The sequence below is a fragment of the Homo sapiens genome, chromosome Y, assembly GCF_000001405.40.
Source record: "Homo sapiens chromosome Y, GRCh38.p14 Primary Assembly".
Lineage (NCBI taxonomy): Eukaryota > Metazoa > Chordata > Mammalia > Primates > Hominidae > Homo > Homo sapiens.
The window spans coordinates 12,903,477-12,924,051 of record NC_000024.10 but is presented as its reverse complement, the minus strand read 5'-3'; the positions used below and the strand labels follow the sequence as shown (position 1 = coordinate 12,924,051).

Sequence of the window (20,575 nt, the reverse complement as noted above, 5' to 3'; positions counted from 1 at the left end):
GACAGATTTGGGGATGAGCTTTGCATCACATATAGTGTCAGGGAAGGGAGCAAATATTATCCAACTGGAAGAAAAGCAGTATCAGTGAATGACCCTAAATAGGATCCCAGTCATGAGATGGCAGGCTGGAAGAGGAGATACTTTCTGGTGTGCATAATGGAAGGCTTACATAGGATGAAGACCAAGCCTCTCAATTATGCTAAGCTGTCCATGACTAACCAGGGATTCGATGAAAATCCCGCTGCCTTCTTTGAAAGGCTGAGAGAGGCCCTAGTAAAGTACACCTCTCTATCTCCTGACTCAATCAAGGGACAGCTAATCCTAAAGGATAAATTTATAACTCAGGCAGCCCCTGATATTAGGAGGAAGTTGGAGAAACAGTTCCTGGGGCCAGGTAGTATATTACAGGACCTCCTGAAAGTGACCACCTCAGTCTTTTACAATAGAAAAAGGGAGGCACAAGAGAGGCAGAAGCTTTAATGACCACCACACAAGACTACAAACACCAGAATTTCCAGGCAGGGCACACTTGTTAATTGCTAAAGATATGGCTACAATAGCTACCTCTCTTCTAAAGTTTAACTGACCCTATACAAGATTTAATTTCTTTCACCAGGGTAAAACAGCTAAGGATACAATGTTGTTGTTAGTATATTTCATTTCTTATCTCTGTAATCTTTAGCACTAAATTTTTCCTTGTATAATACACATTTAACGCATGCATACTTAACCTTATAAAGTTTTTTTTTTCCTCTCACATATAGAGGTCATCAAACTCCAGAAAGGCAACCAGAGCCTCAATGTGAGCCCTTAGATAGACCTCTGTCTGGGAGGAATCTGTTTTCCCAAAAACAACGCCCCATCAGCAGGAAGCAGCTAAGACTGGTTGTCTCCATATTTTTATGGCAGTTACATGTACCTCTTCAGAGGGGAAAAATGATACAAGAAGAGGGCAGAAGTGCTGGGTAGAGACGGGCAGGGTCCTTGAGAGGGCTCCAACCTCATGCCCACGGCCCTAGGTGAGGACACGCACTCCTGTTTTCACACCCAAATGTTGCATTTTTCCAAGACCATCCTGGCCTCCCATGCCCCCCATCCTGTGCCTATAAAAACCCCAAGACCATACTAGGCACACACACAAACATCTGGACATCAAGAGGAACACACTGGCAGAATACACAGACGGCAACAGGCCACTGACAGTGGAATGACATGCATGCTGAGGGAAATTCCATAGAGGGGGGTCAAAGGAGACAGCCCAGGCACTGAGCAGCCTGACTCCAGGGGAGACCACCTTCCCACTCCATCCCCTTTCTGGCTCCCTATCCATCTACTGAGAGCTACCTCCACCACTCAATAAAACCTTGCATTCACTCTCCAAGCCCACATGTGATCTGATTTTTCTGGTCCACTAAGACAAGAATCCAGGACACAGAAAGTCCTCTATCCTTGCAATAAGGCAGAGGGTCTAACTGAGCTGATTAGCACAACCTGCCTGCAGATGGCAAAACCTGGAGAACACACTGTACGACATGCCCACTGGGCTTCAAGAGCTGTACACAACAGGTCACATCCCACACTCGCCAAGACCTGCCTGTCTGCATGCTCCCCCTAAGGTTTGGAGCTGTGGGACACTTAAGGATTGAGCCACTCCCCAGTCACACACCCTTTGTGAGGGGGATACAGGAACTTTTACTGTTTCAAATACATAGTATCTCATTATAGAAATCTATTCATCTCCCCTTGCAACTATTAAATAACAGCATCATTGTGAATATGTTCATTTTTTGTAAACATACTGTTATTGTCTTCAAAGTTCTAAAAGCTCATTTTTCATACAGAGAACTGCTACATAGCACACATCAGTACCATTTCAAGTTCACATTTTCTTGCAGGACAGGCTTGTCTAACTTTTCTCGTGACTGCTGTAGAGATGCATCCACTTCATTTGTCCAATAGGAATGAGATCATTCCAGCTATACTTCTTGCTGGAACTCAGATCCTGACTGATCAATTATTCTCTGAATCTAAAGAACTCATACTCCTAAAAATGGACATTAGACCACTGTGGTCTTCAAAAGACAAATACACATACTTGTGCGCAAACACACGCACATTCAATTTCTGAGCCCTCAGTCCTGGAGAAGACAAATACAATGATTCAGTGGAAAATCACACCTAAAAATCACCTGAGCAGGAGGGAAGGAAATGGGAGACCATTTCCATTGCTAGAAAAAGTTACCTTAATTTGGTCACTATTTGGCTAGTTCACTGCAGAATTTCCACATAGTATGTGTTCTACAAATATTTATTTACTAATCTTCAAACATCAATAGTAAATTGTTAACTAAACTGTATTACCATCAACCAATCTGAACAACTTAATTGCAAATCCAATTTTACCTACATTGTATCTTTTATCGGGAGATAGCAGTACCCAAAAATCAGATCATTTACTAAGTGTGCCTGTAATTGATAAGGACAAATTCTTTTTAACTGCGTGAACCTCAACACAGCTCGTGTCGTATCAATCGTCATCAGGATGATAAATACAAATTAAAATAACACACCTACTTACATATATAAGGTGTGTAAGAAACCAAGTAATGTTGAGAATATAGAGCAACCACAAATAAACTGTGAGACCAAGTGCAAAACGGCATAAATACTTCTGAAAACCAGTAGTACCTACTGAAAACAGGTAAGACATGAAGGAGCATTGGCGTTTACCATAATCATATTAAAATAGTTTGTTGCTGCTACAAACTAGAAATTAGGTGCTATTTACACAACAGAATTCCACACAGCTATCAGAATGTTAAAAATCTAAGGAACATTGTAATTCCATCTCACGAACGTTAACACTTAGTGCAAAAAATGAGTTAAAAAAAACTGTTCATTTTCACCAAGTTTATTAGACTAAAGCTTATGTGTGCTGTTAAAAGAACAGTGCTTATCCTTTGCAGTTTGAGGTTGGTTGCCAAAAGGGGACACAAAGGGACACTGAGGTTCTTGATTTCCTTAAAAAAAACTATTTCAAACATTAACACGTTAGACCAGTTTGCCTATCGTGTTTGTTAAGCGGCACTAACTGCTGCAATGTGTTAAAGGGATTGTCAGCCACCAGAAAAAAGAAGTTGGACAAAACGTGCTTATGCGATTCTCAGCTATCATTAACCTACTCCAATTAATTCTTGACCTTAAGTAACTACTTACAATCAAAAAGTAATTTGTTAGGCAACTGACTTTTTACCCAATTCATTTAGTTCAGCCATCTTTCACATCAAAAATGCTTAAAATAGCAATCACACTCATATTAAGTTGCTTAGACCAAAATGCAATATATGCTGCATGTATAGACCTTTTAGATTCACATCAGTCAGAACACAAATCCTGCCTCACAACTCCAACCTTCTACCACCTTCGTCATTAAGGCAAAGAAGTACTTCTAGCCTCAGGACGGTATTTCACAAACAGCTTTGGTAGGTAGCCAAGAAATCAGATTTCCAATCTTCAGGTTAAGAGCACAAGTTCATCTTCAACTCAACATTAAGCTACAAGTGACAGCAGGAAGACTTTTGAACTTTTTATTTTAGTAAAATCAGAATAAACAGAGCACATGCAGTGCCAGCATCTAAAACTAATACAATAAGCAATTACTGAACTTTTACAGTGACTCGAGGTTCAATGATTACATTCAGCAATTCCATTCTTTATTTACTGAAGAATACTGCTGGCTGATAAAACCGAATGTTAAGTCACTGACAGAAATAACCATGTTTGAGGACTGTAAATATACCAGACAATCACTGAAAATCAAACACAACAAAACACATAACAAAACTCAAGAGAAACTTTGTGGATGTGGACACTTCCTATCAGTGTTCAGAAGTGTTTCATTAATATCTTAAGACAAGTATATCAAAACCTTGGCATGTTTTAGTTTCAAGTTGACAATTTTGTCTTAAATTTTGTCAGAAAATTACAGCTACATTGCCAATGCCGGGTCTGCTTAATTTGACTCAAGTTTAACAGACTTAACATTAAAAGCTCACACTACCCCAAAATATATTATTTCACATACGGTGACATTCAACATTCAAGTGCCAGTGTTTTTTGTACTGTCTTTTGGTCAAGTTTCTTTAAACTTTCAAAGAATCATTTTTAGGCTTACAAAAATAAATATTTGTCAAAATGTTCAATAAATATTACACAACTAGCAGCAAAAAGTATCTAAAATCTGTTGTGTGCAAATAGTTTTCTTCTCAACTACCATTCCATGGTCCCCAATAAAATTTAGGAATCTACTTCTTCACTGGCTGCATTCAACAATCTCCAAGAGACGAAATAAGATTGGAAGGTCGAGGACACCCACACAAGACATATATATATAAAATTCTCTGAATGTGCAACAAAATACTTTGTAAAAAGTTATGGGAGAAATGTACAAGAGTCTAAACCTACACTAATTGAAATAGCACCTTAACAAATGACCTCAATACTGTCAAGTGCACCTACTTAAAAGTTTTAGAACAAGGCACAATACACTTGAAAATCTATTGCACTTTAAGAAATTTTTGTCAACTTCTTATGCCATTGAAAAGATTTGTTTTTAAAGATCATTGCATCTGGCCACAAAATCAGTACAGAATTCCAAGTGGGAGAGGCATTTTTAGTGGTGGACAATCATCTTTGGCCAAATTTAGCACAAGAGACTATAAATACCATGGAAACCTATGCAACTAAAATACGCTAAAACTGCACATATAGAACACACACCTTGTGCAGTTTAGTACGTATTTGCAAGCTGTGTGATTTCAAGGATTTGTTAGTCTTAAGATTTGCAAAGTCTGCAAGTGTAAGCCATTTTAACATTTCAATGCAGCTTTAACAGAGCAGTATGAATCTACATTAAATTAAAGCCTGCTGCACAATCCTTCCTGTTTAAACCGTTCTTGACCAAAAAACATCAACACTAGCATGCATTAAAGACCAGAATCCAACCAGGCCTGTAGTGAGGCCTGGTCACTGCCATGGTCGGCCATTCTAATATTTCAAATTTTTATAGCAGGCATTAAAAAAACTGATTAAATCTCCCCCATTTTATCAAAGCTTTAAACCTTTCTTGTGATAGCATGCCGTTTGCCTAGGTTAGAATAAACTCCCTAAACATTACATGAGAAATTGCTGTACTTAAATTAACCTAAAAGAGCTCTTTCAAAAATATTAATTGGTATACTGATACATTCCACCTCATCATGACTGGAATGGCTTAAAGAGTGTAAGTTCCCAAGTGCCTATCCAGGATAGAGTGAGCAAGTCAGAACTTAATTTAGTAAGGTTGGCCATACAAAAAACTATGCTTTAATGCTTTAAGATGTTCTCCCAACCCCAAGTCTGCAAAACTCAAACAGTCCTAATGCAGACTACTGCCTTAAGTTTTTTTCCCTTTTTATATTTATGGATGAATTGATGACTCCTGTTAAAGTTGTATCATACCTCTGTGCCAAGGTTTGATTTTAGGCCAAGTTTAGTAAATTTATTTTGTCAAAACAATTGGTATCGTGAGCATTACTGAGCCAACAGGACATCAAAGTAGTAAGTTGTCTAAAGTTAAAGTCACAGTACGTTAACAAACAAACGATCCTCAGTCACAAAATTATAAATGCAGTTTGGGGTGGCACTAAAGCAGGAGGGGAAGAGTTTAATCCAAACTAGAGCAATTACATCTTCAAACCAATTTCTGAATAGGGCTGCTGTTTTTTCCTTTCATTTTTCTTCTTGTGACTTTGAGCTCCCTTGAATTATCAGGAGAATCACAGCTGGTAATGTACTGCAAGTTCTTGAAGCTACACAATATAGTCTGGCTAAGTTACATGTGGTTTCCATATTAGCTTCTTTGTAAGGGTGACTTTGCTGCAAAGCAGATTCAGTTGCCCCACCAGTCAACCCCCTGGGAGTTATAATTTCCTCCATATCCATCACTATTGTAGAAGCCTCCATAGCCACCTATCAAGAAAAATGTTTAGAGAGAAATTAAGTCATTCGTTAATACCTTTTTTTTCTCAAGTACTTTAACATAAAACCAGTAAAAGAAATCTAGAGTTGGATTTTGTGTCCCTCAGAAATCAAATCTCCCCAATGAATTATGCTTTGAAAAAGAGAACTCGTAAGAAAAACAAAGAGCCTAGGCCAGGCACGGTGGCTCAAGCCTGTAATCCCAGCACTTCGGGAGGCCAAGGTGTGTGGATCATGAGGTCAGGAGGTAGAGACCAGCCTGGCCAACATGGTGAAACCCCATCTCTATTAAAAATAGAAAAAAATGAGCTGGGCATGTTGCCACCCACCTGTAATCCCACCTACTTAGGAGGCTGAGGCAGGAGAGTCACTTCCAGTGAGCCGAGATCAGGCCACTGCACTCCAGCTTGAGTGACAGAGTGGGACTCCATCTCAAAAAAAAAAAAAAAAGAAAAACAAAAAGCCCTTCCTAAAAGAAAAATTAACATTACCTCCACCAAATCCTCTGCTGTTGCCGTAACCACCTCCACCACTGCGGCTGCTGCTTCCGCGACTAGCACCAAAGCCAGAACTGCTGGAACCACTACTTTGTCGATAGTCTCTGGCACCAAATCCTCCACTGAATCTATTACTGTAAGCAAAAATATGGCATGGCAGTGTTAAGTACAAAGTTCAATTAAACTGAAAATTACTGCTTAAACCCTGCAATTCCCAATTTGATTTTTCAGTTCAATTCCATTATGTTCCAATGGGAACCATCCCATTAATGTCCCAATGTGTTCTAACAGTGTTTCTAAAGGACTCAGGAGTAAGGACCTAACACTTAATTCCTTGTCACCCTCTCTAATAATCATCCCTTGCCCAAAATGTTTATTATTGTTGAAAATAACTGTTTAACACTTTTAAGTTAACTCTGAAAGCTTCTTGCCCCTAGTAAGCAATAACAAGAGTGAAGGCTCGAAACAGTGTGTACCTTTTAGATCGTCCACGACTGCCACCCTTGTAGTGGTGTTCATAAGCCATATTTTCCAACCAAGAAGGCACTTCTTGTTTAGCTTCTACAAGAAGATCCAACAAATCCTTTGTAATATTCATATTTTTTTCATTAAAGAATGAGGTGGCAAGGCCTAAAGTGTTCAAAAAAAGTACATGAAGTTTCCATAAAGTAGTGGAGTATTCTTATATTCCTGTATAAAATATAGTAAGAAAGAAACTAAAATACGACATTGTAATTTGTAATATAACCAAATCAAAGATACTGAAAGAAAAACTTTTACTTGGCTGATTAATCTGATATGAAATTTTACCTCAAAAATAAACATTCTATTTTTAAGATTCTGTGTCAAATCCTGGCTGTATGCATCACAATTAAAAAAAAATGAACTAACAAACCCCTTACCCAGGTTTCCTACACGTCCTGTACGGCCAATACGATGCACATATTCTTCAATATCACTTGGCAAATCAAAATTGATAACATGTCTCACATTTGAAATGTCTAGTCCTCGTGCTGCCACCTGAAAAATTAACTTCTTTTAAAAAAAAAAAGCACTATCCACACATGATAAATTAAAAAATAAAATATACATACAGCTGTAGCCACTAGAATTGGGCTTTTTCCTGAGCGAAACTGGTGAAGGGCCTCCTCTCGATCTCTCTGTGACCGGTCTCCATGAATACTAGTACAAGCATATCCTTCATGGTATAAGAAATCCTCCAGGGAATCTGCTCCCTTTTTGGTCTCCACAAACACTAAAGTAAGTGAATCACTCCCTGAAAAATTATAAGGCTTTGTTTACTCACAGTGAATTAGCATCACTACTTAATCTAAATTATTAACTGGCTTAATTCTAGTCCTTGTGCTAAAATACATCTTGGATGCATGCAAACAGAGCCAATTAATGTAAGCATTGTTTTAGCCATGTTTAGAAAGACAGGAAAGGCCAGAAGATATGTAAAGAGATTATCTTTACATGTAACTGACACTATTCTTATTCATAATTTACCTGTTGCACCTAAAATGTCCAGTAGAAATGACCGTTTATCTAAGTCTTCCACCCAAACTACTTTCTGTGTGATGTTCTCAGAGGTAGAGCCTACTCTGCCTACAGCCAAAAAGATATATTCATCCAAAAAGTCACGAGCAAGCATCTGAAACAGTGAGAAAAATACTCAATTACCTATTTTAATACATAAATTATCTGAAGATAATGAATAAACACAAATGTTCTGAATGAAAGTTCAAACGTCAAACAGTACCTGTATTTCCTTAGGAAAAGTAGCACTAAACATCATGGTGTGACGAACGCCCTTTGGTGGCATAGTATCTTGTTCAACTATACGACGTATCTGAGGTTCAAATCCCATATCCAGCATCCTATCAGCTTCATCCAACACTAAGTACCTATTACGAAAACCCTCAGTTGATACTGGATTATTAGATCTGAGAAACTAATTACTATATATAGTTGTGTAATTAATTGCACTAATATAGTAACTCAAGTAGTAACTATTGCAGTGTCACAATTTGACATATACTCAACAAATGCATACACACACAAACACACACAAAATCATGAGATGAAATGCTCAAGGTAACAACCGAATTACCCATGTTGATTGTTAAAATGAAGCTCAGAGCCTCAAATAAAATTTCACTTACTCTTTACAAAAACGTTAACTGCAATTTTCAAAACTATGTAGAAAATTAAATTATTGAAGTTAAAGCAGTACTAGTAAAATACAACAAAAGTAATCAACTTTTAATACAGAAATAGATGCACCCCATATATAAAAACTGACATACTTGCAGAAGTCTAATCCAATCTTTCCTCTTTCCATCATATCCACTAGACGTCCTGGAGTGGCTACTAACAAGTGGCATCCACGTTCTAAGTCCCGAATCTGCTGACCAATATCAGCACCACCATAAACTACACAAGGACGAACTCTAGATCGGTAGGAAAACTTTAAGCAAAGAACATGTCAGTGACTATAACAACATCATTTGACAAATAAGAAAAGCAATAATCACTAAAATGAATATTTTACTTTTCTGGCTTCCTCATAGATCTGTACAGCCAATTCTCTTGTTGGGGCTAAAACCAAGGATATTGGATATTGTTTGCGGCGCCCATACCTTCCATTTTCCTAAAACATAAATATAATTTTAAATTCATAACCCAAAACTTCAATTGTTTTTAAAAATTCATCACTTTCTCTTTATAATTTGCAGATTACATCTACAAACTTATTTTCAGTGGGTGAAAGGGGTAAAAAAAAAAAAATGAAAATAAGGTGTATCTGGCATCCGTTAGAAAAGTCAACAGGGCTTTGCAAAGCTTTTTAAAACAAAAATGTCTGATTTTATAACAAAACCTTTACCTTCACAGCCTTCAAAGCTTCTCCTGGACCATCTGTATATATCTGACTCAGTATGGGTAAAAGAAATGCTGCAGTTTTCCCAGATCCTGAAAACAAAACACTGGCTTATCATTTCTGAATATTAACAGATGACAAAGGGTTCTAAATGCCCTTGAATTGTAAGAAAATTTTTCTTACTTTATTTCCAATTTTCTAGGAAGTTACAGTAAATTTATATGGCAAACCTAAAGTGAGTACTGTGCTTTATTTTTAAACAATGTATTTCAATTTGTACAAAACACAACCATTTTTCTGAAAAGTGGCATCAACTTTCAGTTCAACATTTCTTTGTAATCACTACATACTGTTAGAAGGTAAAACAGGGGTCAGTGAACTTTCTGTAAAGAGCCACATGGCTCTTGCAGGCCAGTCTCTCTGCCACATCTCTGGCTAACCTCTACAGCTATAGACGTAACCAATGGGTATGGCTATATTTCAATACAGCTATTGAAAAATAAACAAGAGCTAGGTTTGACCTAAAGGCTGCAGTTTGCTAACTCCCGTGGAGTTAACTGTAAAATACGCAGTTCTATTTCTTAAAGAAGATTTTGCCATAAGCTTCCTCAAGATGTCCAGATAAAAATATTAGTTTCATCCCAAGGATCCAAAGGTATACACAAAAAGACACATCCTCAGCTAATCTTTACCTACCTCAAATGCTAAACACAGGATTCAGACATCCCCTTCAGAACATACTACTTTTAAAGTAAGTCTGATCAGGTATTCTTAACTTTCACTTTGTATTGAGTAAGCTTACCTGTTTGGGCACAAGCCATTAAGTCTCTTTTTCCCTTAATAATAGGAATGGCATGTTTTTGCACTGGAGTAGGACGAGTATAGCGAGTAAGTTCAATGTTCCCCATGATAATTTCTCCCATGTCAATATCGCTAAACTGCCAAGAAATTTAACCAGGTTAATCAAATACAAGTAAATACAGAAGTAAACATAGCAGATATAAAATGCTGTATCTGTCGCAATTTCTGTTTTATACTAACATATTAATGGAAGTAACCAACTAAACTGTCTGATTTAGTTTACAGATGCTATGATTTCAGTAAAAGATTCATGGCATTTTTTAAGAAAATGCCTGGGTTTAATCTACATTGAAAAAAGTTTTTGGAGGCCAGGTATGGTGGCTGATGCCTGTAGTCCCAGCACTCTGGGAGGCTAAGGCATGAAGATCACTTGAGATCAGGAATTTGAGACCAGCCTGGCCAACATGGCGAAACCCTGTCTCTACTAAAAGTACAAAAATGAGCTGGGTGTGGTGGTGTGCACCTGTAGTCCCAGCTACTTAAGAGGTTGAGGTGGGAGAATGGCCTGAACCCAGGAAGGAGGATGCAGTGAGCTCAGATCATGCCACTGCACTCCAGCCTGCGTGACAGAACAGAATCTGTCTCAAAAAAATAAATAAATAAAAATAATGGATGCTTCATAAGTTTGGTAAATTTTTAATTCCAGGATTATTCTTAACAATGACATTAATTTTTTTTTCATAATCCAATGGGTTTGCATTAATAACTTTAAGAGTCAAACAAAAAACTTACATTCTCAATATGTGGAGGACAGTTACTGCCGGTTGCCTCTACTGGTATATCATCATATTTCTCAAAGTTAATCCCCGTGTTTCCTCCAGAAAACAGTTCTCTGAAATCAAACAATTATTACATACATGTTATACTAAGCAATAAATTTCATAACAATTAACATACATTTCAAAAACTTACTGCTCCAAGCGTTCACTTGGTGGAAGTGGTTTTGACCAATCATCTTCAACTGACTTGTCACACCAACGACTATGTCCACTCCGTTCAAATCTGCCAAAGCCAGGTCTTTCACGATTGCCAATACCATCATAGTCACTCCGTCCACGATCATCAAATCTGAATAGCACAAGCAATCAGAAGTACACGATTTAGCCCATGTTAGATTATCATCGCTCTAGAAACGTACTTGGGTATCAGTTGAATTACTGAACACAACCACCCTTCGAAGATACTGGCAATTCAATATTCGTTTCTCATGTGAAGTAAGGCCCTCTAATTAACCAGTACTTAAAATGTAATTTATGTCTTCATTTTTAAGAAAATTATAAAAATTTTTATAAAATCACACAGCTTAGACCTCACATGCTAAGAATTAGGTTTTTAGATACTTATAACTAGTTACGTACTTTACATCTTCATTTAAAATAGTATCATCTAAATATATTTACTAGTAGGAAAGCAGGAATAACACTTGAATTTCTCCTTTATATGAAAGTAGACATGTGACAAGAGAATATTTTTAGAGTTTTACTCCTATTTGTGAAAAACAGAAAGGATTAAATACAGCCATTAGGTTTTTAAGATCAACTTATAACACACATCAAAAATGAAGTGTTTAAAGCTGTCACAGACAGGCTTTAAGTATCATTTAAGTTGAAACAGATTTCACTGTGTCAAATACCATATTCATCTAATTTAATAAATTAATAAAGACCTCTTACTGCTAACAAAACAATGAGTAAACCAACATTCTGCTTTAAATCCATTAGTAATCTGTTAAAGATATGCTTGACCACTGAAAGTATGAAGAATGAGAACCTACCAAATTAAAATTTCTAAATTTCTACTGTATACAAACACAAGCTGAGATTTACCTTCCCCTTGATCCACTTCCACGTTCACTGAAATAACCAGGCTTTCCTCTAGAATCTCGAGACCCAAAACTGCTATATGCATCCTTATCTTTGCTGCAACTCCAACCTGAACTGTCTTTATCATGGAATCCTTCAATAAAAAAGCAAAAATCAGAAGGTGACAAGACTTTTGAATAATTTGCATCTTTCAAAATATGAAGTCCTTCACATGTAGTCTTCCTTTATGTTATCTTTATGGGACCAATGGTCTACAAGTCCCATAAGCAGAATTGTTAAAAGCTTTAATGTTTTCTTCCACCAGAGATTATTATATGAAGCAAAGTAATCTCATGACCTGAGAACAAGGTAGCTTGCATGTAACATAGCTATGCTATTAATACTATACTATCGTAACAATTTTTTTCATTCATTTTTTAAGTGTAAATGTTACATATCCAAAATATAAACCTACTCCAATTAAATTATTTAAGATGAGTCTTTTTTTAAGCTATGACTAAGAGGGATTCCAAGTTCCCAATTTTTAAGCTGAACTTGTAGCTAGTGCAAGCCCATTGTTAGTTTCTTAGTTATGTCCCATCCTTGACAAATCCTGAATAATACAAAAGGTGTTAAACCTAAACATTTAACATATGCTATATATAATACACATTTTGGGAAGGCCCAGCTAAGTAAAAGATTACCTCAGGGACTGTGGGTTACCTACAGAAAAGCTTGAACTAAGAGAGCTACATAATCAGAAGAAATATGTCAGATGGATTAAAACAGGGATGGCTCACACCTGTAATCCCAGCACTTTGGGAGGCTAAGGCAGGCAGATCACAAGGTCAGGAGATCAAGACCATCCTGGCTAACACGGTGAAACCCCGTCTCTACTAAAAATACAAAAAAATTAGCTGGGCATGGTGGCGGGCACCTATGTAGTCCCAGCTACTCAGGAGCCTGAGGCAGGAGAATGGCATGAACCCAAGAGGTGGAGCTTGCAGTGAGCTGAGATCGCGCCACTGTACTCCAGCCTGGACAACACAGCAAGACTCCGTCTCAAAAAAAAAAAAAAACAGCTCCAACTCTATGCAGTTTATGACCAAAAACTACTCATACATAGTAGTATGTAGCAACTGTATGTAGCAAGCATCATAGTAAACAAGGACTCATTCAATGAAGAACCTGGAGAAGTCAACTTGCTATCTATCAACAATACTATAAACAGGACTAGTTAGCTGAGCATCTTAATTCATCTTTTAAAATCTAGCTTTGTCTAGTAACACCAAAAAGAAACAGATCAGCTAAATGGAAGTAGTCAATACAAAACAAGGAATTTCCATGTTGTCTACTTTGCTCTACCAGACCTCTAAAATAGCCTCAAATTCTAAAAGTCCAAAAGTAACTATGTAATCTTAATATGCTCGTTAAGAATAAGGTATACTTGTGTTAAAACAAAAAAACCCTCATTGTTGCCTACTTTCCATGTCTACAAACTGATAAAAAAAAAATGACAAGAGTAAACTCACTTCACAACCACACACTTACCTAAATTCAAACATTTCAATGAATGTTTAAAGTTACAAGTTAATAAAGTTATTTTCCCCTGCTTTTAAATCTCCAATATTAGACAAATGAATAATTGTACTTCCTAAATCTAGATCTATTGTACTAAATCGATTGTACTTCCCAGATTTAGGAAGTTAGATGTTTAAGGTCTCTTCCATCCCCTCAAATACTAAAATATTGCCAACTCTCCTTAAGGCAGTTAATAAACCTTTGATGCAATTCCAGCCAGATGCAATATTTTTTCAGAATAACAATTCTCCAGTTATTCTGAAAAAATAATACAATCATTAGCTAAGTGGTCTTCTGATAAACAGACCTAAAGAGGCTACAGACTAAACATAGAAATACAAACCCACTCCACACCCCTTTATCATTACCTTCTTTCCTTTTGGTTTTAAATACTTTTCCTGACCTTTCCTTCTCCTAGAATTTTTTTGATGTATATGCAGCACTCAAAACATCACCCCAATTAAACTTTTCTAAATTACAAATTTAATAGTAAACCATCCTAAGTGTTTTAAGGCATTTCATGCAACACCTTTCAAATGAAGTTGTTTAGGCTGAAACCAGACAATCTCACCAGCTTATTGGATGTGGCCAAAAGTGGTAATCTTAACAACTGTTAACTAGTCTAAAAAAAAAAAAACCCACTTTTGCTGTGCTAACTTTTCCAGACAGCAGCAAGCAGGTCTTTATCACTACACAGTTTCTTTTACGTAAGGCATTTCCACAAATACACTGGTTTCAAATTTCAAAACATAAATGTTTACAAACAGATAAACCACTATACAAAACTCAGATTCTTTGGGCTCAGTTTGCCAAAGGAAACAACTATCCATCATTCAACATTATACAAACTGTTCCAAAAACAGAAAGTGCTAGTTCTTAAAGACAGTCTGAAAGAGGCACAGGAGGGGACAAAAAACATTTATAGACCTCCTAAAGTTACTTTCTTCCCTAGGCTTTGATTAGCTGCTAAAGGTTAGGTCTACAAAGTTGCCTTAAAGACGTACCTTTAGATGCTTCTCTGTTCCTTAAGTGAGGAGGTATATAGCGCCCTTCTAAAAGAGAAAATGTAAAATTAGAAGCCTATAACATCGCCAAGATACTGCTTTTAGAAAATGTCTATTAAAAAATAGGTCCTGGAAAACAAACTTTTAAAACCTGTATTTTATACAATAAACTACTTTGCAAGATGAGCGGAAAAAATGCTTACTCTAAAATACATTGCAAACCACAAATATTTCAGTAGCTAGTAGTGGTTATCTAACAATTATCTTTTAAAAGGATCTATTTCCAATAACTGCTTCATGAATCAACACTGACCATTAAACATGGTAATTACCCCAGTATAAAAGCCTACTAGGGAAAAAAGACTCTTATGTGCTATACTAAATTAACTAACCAGTAAGAGGCTTTTAAAAAATCTGTACTGGGCTGGTCACGGTGGCTCACGCCTGTAATCCCAGCACTTTGGGAGGCCAAGGCGGGCAGATCACGAGGTCAGGAGATCGAGACCATCCTGGCTAACAAGGTGAAACCCTGTCTCTACTAAAAAAAAATAGAAAAAATTAGCCGGGCATGGTGGCCGGCACCTGCAGTCCCAGCTACTCAGGAGGCTGAGGCAGGAGAATGGCATGAACCTGGGAGGGGGAGCTTGGGGTGAGCCGAGATCGCGCCACTGCACTCCAGCCTGGGCGACAGAGCGAGACTCCGTCTCAAAAAAAGAAAAAAAATTCTGTACTGGTAGATTAAAGTGATACCATAAAAACACATGAAAAGTTGGAAAGTGAAAATGATCTGGAAAACAAATCAAGTGTTTTCAGTTAAATCAACAGGCCAGTCTATGATTAAGAAGTAAAAGAACTTATGAAGTAGACAGTACTTAACTACCTGATTTTGTAACTCAAAAATCCAAATTTGAACTAAACCTCCTACTTTTGGATTTAACTAAATATCCAAAAATGTCTCTACCATTTAAATATCTGTAATGTTCATATAACGACAAAGTTTGAAATAAATTTATAAAACTTAAAAGTGTTCTGTTTTGTTTTGTTTCAAAGCATACCAACTACTTTCCTTGTTGAACAACAGTAAGAAACCTGGACTCAAACCAGGGATACTACTGAATAACCACCAGCCTTACTCTCCTATCCAAATACTAACCTCACCCAATCTTCCAAAACCAAACAAGACCAAGTATTTCAAAAGAATGTCTTTATAACTAATTTCCTTTCACAGGAATATAGCTAACTCATCACCTTAAAATCAGATGAGCTTGGTTTTATCACTGAATGTTAGGTTCTTCGTCGGCAACAGCAGTAGGTGTAGCACATAAATGCACAGGTTAAAGTTCTTTCATTAGGTTTAACACAATGCAGGTCAATTCACAAGGATGGGCTTATATCCCATGCTGGGCCAGAAATGAATGGCACTGCTTTTCTAAAAATAATGTGTATTACATTAAGGTTCTTGGTTTTTTGTTTTGTTTTTTGAGTCAAGGTCTCTGTAGCCCATGCTGGAGTGCAGTGGCCTGATCTCAGCTCACTGAAGCTTCCAGCCTCCCAGGCTTAAGCAAATTCTCCCATCTCAGCCTCATGAGTAGCTGGGACTACAAGCACGTACCACAGCGCCAGGATAATTTTTTGTATTTTCAGCAGACATAGGTAAACAGTGTATTTTATTACCCAGACACACCAAAATATCTCATATTTTCATATAGTCAAGTTGTAAAGAAAAAAATGTAAATTTAAAATTAACAAGTCCAGTAAGACATTAACATTAAGCTCTGATAAACACTCCATTTTTAAAAAAAGTTTTACTTACTGCTCGCTGTACTTGCTCCTCCACTCTGTTTTTCAGAGTTCAGGTCCAGATTAGCAAGCTAGAAGAGATATCAATAGCTCACATGCTGATACACAAGAACAGATAACATCACAAAAGACAAATGAGACCTAGATTCCAATCTTATCCTGTACCACAAACTTAGCTGCCATGTCGGCCTGGTATTACCTGCCAAATTTTAAAGATGTCCAGGTCTACCAACCATGACAAATGCAAATGGCATCAGCTGAATACCAGCAGTTTCACAGTAATGAGTTCAAATTCATTAATTCAAAACAAATTTTCCTTAACAATTTTCCGAAGTGAAAACTTTCCTAACTAAAAAAATTTACCATCAATTTCTCAGTAACTTCAACATCCAATTTAGCTACAGTCATGATAGTGAAATGTTCCCAATGACAGTGGTTTTCTTGATATTCTAACCCTAAAAATAAATGGACATTAAAATCATTTGAAGATTCCTTAATTTATCTTTGCCCTGAAGACGGTACAACTATTTTTAATGCAGATAAATTCCTAAACATCAAAAGCTCAAAAAAAAAAAAAAACTTCACTATGTTTTGAGTACTACGCGGCTTTACACAGCTGTCACTTAATGTTCGATACTTTATGGAGATGGTAGCATTTATTTCTCCCATTCTAAACATCAAATTCGGAGGTCTTTGGTTGCGAAGTTAAAAAGCAACACATCTCGTATTTAATGTTTCTAAAATGACATATCCAATCTCAATTCATGCCTCCTTATACTGATGGATTTTAAAACTAGAAAAAAGGTTATTTCGCTTTAAGGGCTTTCAGCATAATACCTTACCTAGAACAACTCTGAAGCGGTGGCGGGGGTGGGGGAAAAAACCATGTACGTTAAAATAGATTTTTTTCAAAAAACACGTTAAGACCAATGCCAAGAGCACCTTGGTCACCTTTTTGCACAAACTTTCTATGCCGTAGAAAGCTTACATATATAAGTTCAAGATACTATCACATTACATGAATCATCAATTAAGATACTACTGTACTTAAAAATCTTGCCATCTGAATTTACTACTTAATTCTAGTGAACTAGACAGCACGGTTTATCAAGAGTTAAAGGGATGCCAATTACATAGAAAACATAAATGCGTATTGCCCAGGCTCTTAATTTTCTATTTCTGTGGTCTATTTAACACGTCAAGTCTCAGTAAACTGCAGGCGTTAATACGTCGTCAGTGGAAAAATAACCTTCAAAGGCAGACCATTAAATCCCTCAAACGACACCTAACAGCAAAATTTAAAATCATTTAGCATCACTAAGCTTTAATTACAACTAAGAAGTTCCGACGGTATTTTTTGGTTAAAAAAAAAATGTATGCTCTTTATTCATTCTCTCCCCTAGACTTGGGAGGCAGAAATGCAGGGATAAGCTTGCAAACGACTGGTGTGCCAAATGCAAAAGCGCGGTAGGTTCCTGACACAGAAAACGAGCCTGATCTAACACGTAGACCACCTATCTTCTGCCTCATCGCCCAAACTTCCAAAGGATCTGCCCTTAATGGAAACACAGTTAAACCTATATCAACAATCCTTCGGCGATAACAAGAAAGTAAACCACAAATAACCTGTCCCGCTAATCAACATTCGAGGTTAGTTTTCTACCGGACGACTTCTGCATGTATCGCCTAAAGTAAAGATACAATACCATATAAAAACCGCACAGCTCTCGGCTAGGCGGCTGTCCAGTGACTGAATTAACAAAGGGGTGTAGCGCAATGCTGGATCTCTAACCTTCCAGGTGTCTTTCCGCGGGCGTCCAATTTCCATTATTTCTACAGGGTCAAGAGAAGCACGCGGCAGCCATCCTTCCCTACCCTCCCCACCATCCCTTTCCGGTCCTTCTGCGTCACAAAACTTTCCATACCGGAAGCCCAGTTTCGGCACGCTCAGCACCCGGGCAACGGTTGCTCCGTGGCTACGGGACCCCACCAGAAACAAGATACAGGATACTTGTTACGTTGTGCTATATTATAGTCACTCGTCTTCAAGAATTCCACAGGCCTGGCCCCTCTGCTCAAGGAACACAGCGCTGCCAAGTCACACAATTGTATACACAAAGACTCTGGCCATTTGCCCGAGCAAAGACCATACTACTCTTTCTTCTCGCTACACAAACTGGGTGGCCTGAATACACTTTCTTCTTAACAATGACACTACTGCGAATACGTCAGGGGCGCCAGATAAGAGCCTCACCCTGGACATAAAAACGGTCCGCTTTTGCGAACCGCCTCCCTCCCCCGCCCCCTCACAAACGGGTTCGTGGTCGCACATGCGCGTCTCCACGGGACAAGCAAACACAAAAGCCGCCATTGCGTGAGGCCCAGTACTATACCAGAATACCAGCGTAACCACTACCATTAACGTTACTGCCATCGCACGATCCCTTCCGTACGTGGTCTTGTCATGGTCTCATGCAGTTTCTCTCCCCATTTCCCTAGAGTCCCAGTCACATAACACACGAACCCACCAGAAGTGAAACTGAAAAACCAATTAACAGTGCGCCACAAACCGTCAGGCCAAGTAAAGGGTCCCGTAGAAAGCCTCGGTAGGCTTACTTTGACTCACCTGCTGGTCCAGTTCAGGGTCATTTTTCACCACCACATGACTCATCCCTGAAGAGAAGCGAAAAATCGGGTAGTCCACTGTAGGTGTGAGACCGAATAGCGGAACTCTTACACTGGACCTACAGCTATTAAGCGCACTGGTTAGCCTACGCGGTAATATGGCCCCTCCCACAGCTATACGACAGCACGCACAACGTGCGTAATCGTTGGCTCCACCCCTCCACCACCACCACCCAATCCCTTTATCGCTACCGTTACTTCTCCCTAAATCGCGTTCGTTTAGTCATAAGATCGCGGGATTACGTAGTCCCAGCGCCTCTCAAAATTCGCGCGATGTTTGCTATCCCCGCCCTCTCCTAATGCCTTCGAATTCTAGGGATCTAGCAAGATATCTTTCGCCTTTTTCGCCTTGGGGAAATCTTAAACACAGTGACAATCTACCACTAACTCCCGCTCCCTCCTTACCCACCCTCAACTTCCCTTCTTCCTTAAGCACTCTCTCTTCCCTTTTACTTCTGAGAATAGGAAGTTTCGTAAAATTTTTCCGTTCCAACTAGCCGTCACCTACCTTTGACAAGCTTCAGCAAAGTTGGAACTAGTCAAAAAACTCTCTGAAGCCAAGATAGATAAGGGTTACGGGATCCCAGGTGTTAGGCGCAGTGACCATTTTACGTGAGCGATCCACGGTGGTTTGAATACAATCTTCAGGTTAGGGAGGTGAAAGAACAGGTCCGCAGAAGGTCCCTCTGCAGGATGGACCTGACTGCACCTGAGGAAAGCTGAGTGGATTCCGCAGCACGTGTGACCAGCCAGAGGCTCGACAGACTTGACAGGGTTAGGCTGCTGGGGTTCACCTAGGAACTCCAGACCCCTCTAGTTTTTCTACCGGTGTGCCTGCGCTTTATGAGCATACGGCTTTAGCATCACAGGATGAAGAAACAATGAAACAATTACATACTGAATGACGTTGATGATAACACACCTACCAGGGGACCTAGGCCTAGGCCCTTAACGCACCCTGGCATAGTGATGAAGAAACAATGAAACAATTACATACTGAATGACGTTGATGATAACACACCTACCAGGGGACCTAGGCCTAGGCCCTTAACGCACCCTGGCATAGTGATGAAGAAACAATGAAACAATTACATACTGAATGACGTTGATTATAACACACCTACAAGGGGACCTAGGCCTAGGCCCTTAACGCACCCTGGCATAGGTCCCTTGTTTTCACGAAACAATGAAACAATTATATACTGAATGACCCTGGTGATAACACACCTACCGGGGGACCTAGGCCCTTAACGCACACTGGCATAGGTCCCTTGTTTTTCTGGGCACCCTGCAACCTAGGTTAACCAGTGCTATACTACGTCCCCAAAGCCAGCCTAGCCATGGGATTGTGAAAGACTCTTTTGGTTGCCCAAAAGAATGAGGGTTGAGGGGGATCGGCCTACTGAAGGAACCACTACACCAAAGTTGTCCTACGTTCGTAACAAC

General features: G+C 38.5%; 1 protein-coding gene across 17 annotated transcripts; it reads right to left on the bottom strand.

Annotated features, from left to right (window-relative positions):
* DDX3Y (DEAD-box helicase 3 Y-linked) lies at positions 3,574 to 20,053 on the bottom strand. 17 transcript variants are annotated; one of them, XM_047442775.1, is made up of 18 exons: positions 19,638 to 20,053; positions 19,071 to 19,194; positions 16,458 to 16,515; positions 14,645 to 14,692; positions 12,084 to 12,213; positions 11,170 to 11,325; positions 10,990 to 11,089; positions 10,199 to 10,334; positions 9,403 to 9,488; positions 9,070 to 9,168; positions 8,825 to 8,985; positions 8,278 to 8,422; positions 8,025 to 8,169; positions 7,610 to 7,791; positions 7,418 to 7,535; positions 6,992 to 7,145; positions 6,510 to 6,649; positions 3,574 to 6,009 (listed from the first exon to the last, which is right to left on the bottom strand). In XM_047442775.1, exons 2-18 carry the CDS (start codon positions 19,113 to 19,115, stop codon positions 5,930 to 5,932), a joined length of 1,983 nt encoding a protein of 660 aa, XP_047298731.1. In that variant the 5' UTR covers positions 19,116 to 19,194; positions 19,638 to 20,053; the 3' UTR covers positions 3,574 to 5,929. The 17 variants fall into 17 exon arrangements, 8 of the variants coding, with proteins under 8 accessions (XP_047298731.1, NP_001116137.1, NP_004651.2 ...); NM_001122665.3 differs by having other exon boundaries at positions 19,071 to 19,117; NR_136721.2 differs by lacking the exon at positions 19,638 to 20,053 and having other exon boundaries at positions 8,825 to 8,968; positions 19,071 to 19,184.

Coding starts and splice junctions, on each gene's coding strand:
- DDX3Y (XM_047442775.1), bottom strand. CDS start 19,115: ATGAGTCATGTGGTGGTGAAAAATGACCCTGAACTGGACCAGCAG. Junction 6,650..6,991: donor AGTCGTGGACGATCTAAAAG/GTACACACTGTT, acceptor TTTTGCTTACAG/TAATAGATTCAGTGGAGGAT. Junction 6,010..6,509: donor CAGCAGAGGATTTGGTGGAG/GTAATGTTAATT, acceptor TTTTCTTGATAG/GTGGCTATGGAGGCTTCTAC.